Source organism: Homo sapiens, chromosome 1 (assembly GCF_000001405.40).
Source record: "Homo sapiens chromosome 1, GRCh38.p14 Primary Assembly".
Lineage (NCBI taxonomy): Eukaryota > Metazoa > Chordata > Mammalia > Primates > Hominidae > Homo > Homo sapiens.
In genome coordinates this window covers 89,172,667-89,180,917 of record NC_000001.11, presented here as the reverse complement: position 1 = coordinate 89,180,917, position 8,251 = coordinate 89,172,667, and the positions used below count along the sequence as shown (strand labels likewise).

Genomic DNA, 8,251 nt, shown 5'->3' with positions numbered 1-8,251 from the left:
ATCCAAGATATAGCATTAGAAAAAAAAAAGATGCAGAAAGTATGCTGCTACCACTTAATTTAGGAACTAATGAATATGTGTGTACATTATTAGCTCCCTCTGGAAAAATAAAAAATATACTAGTATCCTGGTCATACCAGGAATGGAACTGAATAGTTAAGGTGAGAAATGAGAGGGTAACTCTACATCATATATGTCTTCAACATTTTATGTAAATTCATCATGTATTCAAAAATGGATAAATACAATTATTCAAATTAAAAATTGAAATCATAATACATGGATGGCAGAGGTCCCACAACAGGATGAAAGTAATTAATATTACTAGAAATAGCATAAGTCTGCTCAACAGGAAACATCTTCTCTTTGGAACAGAGAACTAGAAAGGGCACAAAACATGCATCCTAATTTTGTTTTTATTATGGCCTTTCAACAAGATTTCAAAGTTTATCCCCAAATATATGGTCAAATACAACGTTCCCTGGGTTGTCAACTAGTATTCTCTTGACTGAGGGCCCTTTTGCAGGGGACAAAGACTTCTTAAAACAACCCTGCTTCCTCACCTTCTATCCTTTGTCTACCAAATCCTGCTCATCCTTAAGATGTCCTGGTTCCTGACTTTCTGAGGCTTGGTGAGATGCCCCTTTTGGGTTGCCATGGCACCAACTTGTTACTCCTACCATTGAACTTTTTATATAACTGTGAAATTAAAAATGCTTATTTACTTCTCTCTACCACCTCTTGATCTCAGGCGCTTCATTTTCCTCATCAACTTATCTTTAGTTCCAACTACAAAAGCCAGCACAGAGGCTCAAGTTTGGGTTGATTAAATACATATTCTACCCTCCAGTAGGTCCCCAATTTACCATATCTTTACTGTATTCCCAATCTCTAGAGCTCTCAACATAAAATATACAATCTTAGGAAGTCATGCAGAAAAGACTCACTGAGTCAGAAAGAATATGCCCAGTTGTCTTAATCTGCCACCCTGTTCTCTCTGAGGGACTGGACACTCCATTGACTTTATGTTCCTCAAGCTTATTGTTACCAGTGGAGGGTGTCCAGGTTCTTGGTATCTTGAACAAAGGATTGGACAAAACACACAAAGAAAGGAAAGAATGAAGCAACAAAAGCAGATATTTATTGAAAATGGAAGTACACTCCACAGTGTGGGAGTGGGCCCAAGCATAGGGGCTCAAGGGTCCTGTTACAGAATTTTGGGGGATTTAAATACCCTCTAGAGGTTTCCATTGGTTACTTTGTGTATGCCCTATGTAAATGGAGATAATATTTCCCGGCATAGCTGAAGTGTGAATAGGCCTTATGTTCTATGCCTCCAGATCCTATTTTCCTGCCTCATTTCCTCCCTGAGAGATGTCATCCCCATAAATCTTTATGGGAGGTGGAGTGACTAATGGTCTTTCTTCTGTAACTGCCTCATGCTGGCTTGAAGCAAAGTCCCTACCTATTGGGGATCACGGAACTGTCACCCTGCTCTGTCTAGTGGAGGCAGAGTAGCTTCTTGATGGCCAGGGGTGGTGTCTTCAACTGGAACTGGCTGGAACATTTGTCACATGATCTTCTGAAGCTTGATGGTCTCTAGGTGAGAGAAAGTGAATTTGGTTAAAAGATTTAACTGGAACTTCAGGAGGTGGATACCTATGCTGTTAAGAATGCTCGTTACAGACATTTGCAAGAGGAAAAACAAAACCTGGTTATTCAATTAATTTTTTTGTTCTACTTAGATTAGTAGCTTTATACAAGGAAATTTGGTTATTTATGTGGTCTACTATAACTTAATATAATAACTATAATTATAATTGACAGCATGTACTTAGACATTAAAAATTTTAGAAATCTCATACAATTTTGGGACATATATTAGCATTATTCACAAAAATATAACCTAAAGATTGAACAACATTTTGGCAATACTATGTACCTAAACATGTTAAATAATCCTGTTTACCTCTTCTCTGGGTGATTCAGGGGCCCCCTGATCCTTCCAAAAAGCCAGGCATCGGGAAAGACAATTTTGAAACTGAAGTTTGATTTTGGGAAGGCTGTTAAATATGTTCGGAGTTTAAAACACTTGATACTATGAAATAGAATTCCAGATTACCATGAATGATGTATTTTGCCAAAAGGTTGACTCAGAAATATTAAAGAAGCAAAAGCCTTTTATAACCCTTTACAAATTTTGCCGAAGAGCAAATTAGTGCCTTAAGAAAACCTTATTGTACTTTTAATGCTCAGTTTACAGAAAAACAATATAATACCTTTCTGAATTTAGTCAATATGTTCACACAGAGAATTTCTTTTGCAAGATTTTTAGAAACCTTCCACCACTTATTTGAACTTTTAGCTTTATCTTAATTTAAAACAATTGTTTAACCCTAGGCAATAATTTACTTTTCCATACCTTCTTATAACGTTTTACAAAAAAAAAAAAAACACATTCTATTCTTCTTATACAATTTGCATGTAAAACTATTTTAGTAGTCTCAATTACATGTAATAATGGTGACTGTTAGTCATTTTAATTTTAATTTTAATGTCTTTTCTTATTCATGTTTTATAAAATAATTTTTTGAGAGAGACTGTCAGTCTGTCACCCAGGCTGAAGTGCAGTGGTGCTATCTCGGCTCACTGCAACCTCTGCCTCCCAGGTTCAAGCGATTCTCCTGCTTCAGCTTCCCTAGTAGCTGGGAGTACAGGCATGTACCACCACACCTGGCTAATTTTTTTGTATTTTTGCAGAGTCGGGGTTTCACTGTGTTGACCAGGCTGGTCTCAAGCTCCTGACCTCAAGTGATCCACCCACCTCAGTCTCCCAAAGTGCTGGGATTACAGGTGTGAGCCACCTCGCCCAGCATTTACACTGCACTATTTTTAGCTGGTTTATATATAACATGTTTCCCTAGGATCAATGCCATCCTGTTTTCCCATTAGAGAATTGACAACACAATTTGCTGGTACATCCTCAAATTTGCTATACCTTCCTTGTATTCTTCATCCTATGCTCACCTTGGAAATGTGGTAGCCATTTGCTTATCTAAAAGAATATTAAAATTTATCTCCCTTGGAAGAAATGGCTATAGACAGGATAGGCACCGGGCTTAAGCTCCCAAAGTGTCAGGAAGCCTGGGTCTCTGTCTTTCTGGATATTTCCATTTCAAAAGGCATGGAGCCCAGACTCTTGAAGACATCTCTGGGTTGTAAAGCTGGCACTGATATTTAGCCCCTAGAAAGCTCTATTTGTATTCAAAAGGTTAAAGAAAGGACTCTGGCCCACTTGTCTCTAAAGAAACACTCTAAAAACAAGCTGGGGTCTGGCATGGTGGCTCACACCTGTAATTCCAACACCTTGGGAGGCTGAGGCGGGTGGATCACCTGAGATTGGGAGTTCGACATCAGCCTGACCAACATAGAGAAACTCCATCTCTACTAAAAATACAAAATTAGCCGGGCTTGGTGGCTCATGCCTGTAATCCTAGCTACTCAGGAGGCTGAGACAGGAGAATCGCTTGAACCCAGGAGGTGGAGGTTGCAGTGAGCGAAGATTGTACCATTGCACTCCAGCCTGGGCAACAAGAGAGAAACTCTGTCTCAAAAAAAAAAAACACAAGTTGGGAAAGTGGGATCTTTTTTTCTTATAAATTTATGTACCCTTAAATTATACATGATTCACAAAGATTCAATTTTGCCTGGGGCTATTTTTTGTTTGCATGATATAAACAATAGATTTTATTACTTAGAAGCAGGTGATTTCCTAGCAATAGTTCTGTTTTGAAATAACCCTGCCTTACTTTCACTTTAAATCTCATCAATATTCACACACACACAGAGAAGTCTTACTCTCTGCTCTCCATTTCTCTCTCTCTCTTCCCCGCTTCCCACCTTCCTCTCTTTTAGAGACAATGTGCAGTAGAGAATCAATGTGGTTTTAACCAAATGGATTTTCAAGTTTGAATCTCGCTCAATTACTTGCTACCTTGGTGTGTAGCTCAATGGCTTTAGTTAGACATATTAATTACCCGTTTTCTGATTATTTTTCCCCCTTGGACAATGGGGATAATAAACAACCTTTATCTTGAGGTATTTTGATATTTAAAATGGTATGTGTAAAGAATATGGCCTAGAATGGAACTGATAAGGAGAAAACATTGTTATTGTACACTCAGCAAACACAGAGGTATTTTAATGAAGTGACTGACAGCAAGACTTCTTGGGCCCAAATCTTATTTAGTAGCTCTGTAATTGTAATAAATTATTAAATCCCTCTTTTAACATTGTGGTAAAAGTATTTGTGATAAGAATACAATGGGATAATCTATGTAAACAAAACGGGTACTATCTTCATTATTATTTATTAAATGTTAAGTGCCAAGACCTGAGTTAGGTGCTAATAATTCAAACATGTATAAGACGTGGACATTCCTTCAGGGCATTTAGAGTCCTCATTATTAAACACAAATAATGAGTTCCATTTTAAGAGTCTAATATTCAAGCCAATTGAACCTAAATAATATTATATTAAGCTTTCTTATTCCTGTACTTCTCAATGTGGCCCACAAACATGAGATGAATGTCATTATTTTAAACGATTCATTGAAGTTTTTTTAATAATCGCAAGCTGTCTCTAAGATCTCTTCCAATAATAAAATTGGAAGATTCTGTTTGAGAAATTATGTCAAATCCTCTCACTAGCACAGCTGTCAGCAATTTCTTTTATTGTTGCTAAATCATGGACTGTCATATTACTCTATTTATTTGCAGAGGTTGCATTGTTTTTTACATGTATAAATACAGGTCTCTAGAAAGTCTGGAAAGCCCCATGACATTGGAGAGGTAAGGTAAAAGTCCAAAGTTCCAGCAAGAAAAAAAGTGGGAGAAATCAGTGCAGCCAAATTCAGAACTAAAGAGAAGAGAATAAAGACTCATAACTTTCTCATTGAAGCTGCCTTCTTACCAAGTCCAGAGGATCTCTACTCTGGGTAAGACTATGACTTATAAGGATTTCATGATTTATAAGGATCCATTAGTTTTCTCTAAGTTGACCATCCCCAAGATAGGCTGCAGCTGAGCCAGCTACAGGATACAAGTCCAGATGAAATCCTGGCCTCTTAGGTGGCTGTGTGTACCTTAGTGTGCTCTAATTCCTGCTGTGTCAGATTAGGCTTCAGCAGAGGTGGAACAGATATTCAGAGAAGCCAGTGTTCTAAGATTGTTATTTCTTTTCTGACACCATCTTAAATTACTGTTATCTTTAAATATCTGCCTAATAGGCTCTGTCACTTTCTTTATTGGGCCCAACATTTATAGCTCTAGGTAAATGAAGGTAGGCAACTTGGGATCTGCAAAAAGAGGCAACACATTATTATAATCCAGGACCTTATAACATCTTTGTGCCACCACCTTTCTGAGCCGGTGACTGATTGATTCCTATGTTATGGTAGCATAGTATATGCTACAGAATTGGACAGACGCATACTCTGTTTTCACTCATCTTCCATAGATACCCAATCTTTTTAGTTTCTGGTTTGCCCTTCTTGCTTGCCAGCAGATCCTGTAGGCCATTGCTATAAGAGGAAATGGGTCATGATCACAGAAAAATAAACGGCTTTTTTTCCATCTTCTGCTGAAGTGATGGGAAGCCAGATAATTTAATATAAACCTCCAGAGGAACAAGTCAGAAGTAACCAACTCTATAGTGGAAACAAACCACTCTTTATTATAGGATAAAAAAGAAAACTGCAGTATCTATCATCTATATTTGCTTGTATCTTAAAGAGATTATATATTTTGTATCATGATCACATAAGTTACAAGGATTGAGACATTCAACTTAAAAACACAAAATTAAAGCATCACTACAAGAAGGCTTTTCACTCCTTTTAACTTTACAAAATTATCAAAATATTTAATTTATCAAGCCCTGGATAAAGATAGCATGATTACAATTGTGCATATGCTACTCTCTATACAGCAGAGATCAGACAAAAAACAAGCCATGGTTTTTCAAAGAATGTTTCATGCTGTGACTTCATTACATGAAATAATTAAAAACAATATGCAGACTGATATACATGGAGGTAATAAAGAATCAATCTTCAAATGCAGAGAATTCAAAATCTGTTAACATAATCAAGTCAAAAATCAACAGAGTAAGTGTCAGGTGCGAGCTATCAGGCTTGCATGAATAACGTGTGAATGCTGATGCACAGTGAGAGGAGGAAGCCATTGGGTAACCTGAGTCCCACAGTCTGACCAGACCCTGCCCACAGAGGGGCTTGCAAGAAATCAGGACCAAGAATGGGTTAGAATGGTATCTATGTTTCAAAGTATAGAGATATGTATAACACAATGTTTCCCAGGTGAAGATTACTACTACTATATACATGAGCTCAGCGAGCTCAGCTTTGCTCAGTCCAAAGATCTAAATGTGAACGTGAAAAGCTTCCAAAGGAAATTTTGTAATTAATTCAGAAGAGCAAGCGGGGCACCTAGGAAAAATTCCATTTTCTAGAAAATGACATACAAGATGAGCTGGTGGGAATGCAACCTTGTACAACTTTCTGGAGAGGAACTTGGCAATATCTACAAAATTATATACTCTCATCTTTTGACCAAGCAATCCCGTTGGTAGGACTCTATCCTGAAATTACTCCTGTAACAATATAAAAATACACATGCATAACGTTAGCAGAGTTATTCATTGCAGCATTGTTTGTAATTGCAAAATATTTGAAACAATCTAAATGCCCATACATTGAAGAGTGATTGAATAAACTGGGGTATAATCCACATAAAGGAGTAGATACATGTTAAAAGGATTTTAAAAGCTTTCTATGAACAGATGTGGAGGGATTTCCAAATTTCTATATGATGTGATCTTCGTGTTAGAAAATGTGAAAAAGAAAATATGTACATTCTCATTTGAGAAAAGAAAATCCAAGAAGCGTAAACCAGAAACTAACAAGATTGGGTATCTATGGAGGATGGGTGGGAATGTGGTAGAAAGAATAGAAGACCACTGCAATGTGAGTGGAGTGGTAAGATGAAGGAAAAGTGACACTTCTCTGACTGTAACTTTTTGAAAAGCTCTGCATTTCAGAACCATGATGTTTCACAAACTCAAAAAATAAATCATACTTAAAATCAACCAAGATACCAAGATGTGAAGGAGGCCAAACTGAAACACAAACAGTAACAAATGTAACTAACTGTTTTACAAATGAATAATTTAACCATACTGAAGAAGGTGGAGAAGGAAAAAGCTAACCTAAGCAACTTTGGAATGCAATGTTTTGAGTGTGTATATAAGGCTAAAGACCAAAAGAACTGTACACTAATAATTTTCTATAGGAAGTAAATTTATTTTTCCACAGACTTATTATCAATTTTGAAACTACTATATGAATATACTAGGACTGAGCAAGGAAACAAATGTATTATGTGTTAGAAGACCAAAGTCTAGCTTACTTGGAGAAAATAGTTTAAAAAGGAAAGTCAAAAGCTTGAATAAGCTCAGATGTGTTGGATTGGAACTGGAAATATCAACAGAATCTCAAGCTTTATTATAGAAATGTACAGATAAAAATAAATATAGATGTGTCCTAGTATACATACATATATTTCTTAACTTTGCCCCTGAGTGGGTCTAGAAATAATGAACACACCTAGAGTGATATATTGGTGTCAAAGTACCATTATCCATTGAAAGAAACCAAAGATACTGGGAGAAATGTTAGATTCTAGGGATAAAGCAGGAAAAATACAGATATTTTTTCTAGAATACGTTGTGGAGCCAAAAAGGAAAGAAGCGCTGAAAATATGATGGAAGCATGTAAAAAAAAAATGGATCCAGCTTGAAGAAGCTCTCAATGACAAAATCTAGGACAAGTTGAGTAACAGAACAAATATTGACAGTAAAGTATTGAAACCCTCAGAATAAAACTAATATCTCTGAGTCTGCATTGATACAAGTAAATGATTAAATGAGCAAACAAAATAAATAAAGAAGGAACAGCCCTTGCTCACGGTAGAACTCCAGTTAATATAGAAAGAATGACTATAATAGAAAATCCTATTTAGTCAAACACCACAAAAAGAATCATCAATAAAAACTAAAAGTAGTGGCTGAAAAAAAAAAAAGTATGATGAGATTGTATTTGCATAGTCTCCAAACTGTTTCTCAAAATGGAAACTTTTTAGTGACAAAGTGGCACATAACTCTTTAAGGTGGCGA

General features: G+C 36.5%; 1 protein-coding gene and 1 long non-coding RNA gene across 3 annotated transcripts in view; one reads left to right on the top strand and one right to left on the bottom strand.

Annotated features, from left to right (window-relative positions):
* Positions 1 to 1,119: 1,119 nt before the first annotated feature.
* The window catches only part of LOC105378842 (uncharacterized), a 51,385-nt gene continuing 44,253 nt past the window's right edge, over positions 1,120 to 8,251 (bottom strand). For both annotated transcript variants that reach the window (XR_947579.3, XR_001737682.2), the window contains exon 4: positions 1,120 to 1,599. This is a non-coding gene — a long non-coding RNA (uncharacterized LOC105378842). The remainder of the gene's footprint in view (positions 1,600 to 8,251) is intronic.
* Positions 4,915 to 8,251, top strand: part of GBP7 (guanylate binding protein 7) — a 44,262-nt gene continuing 40,925 nt past the window's right edge. The window contains exon 1 of the mRNA NM_207398.3: positions 4,915 to 4,997. The gene's annotated coding sequence lies outside the window, so the exon portion shown is untranslated. The remainder of the gene's footprint in view (positions 4,998 to 8,251) is intronic.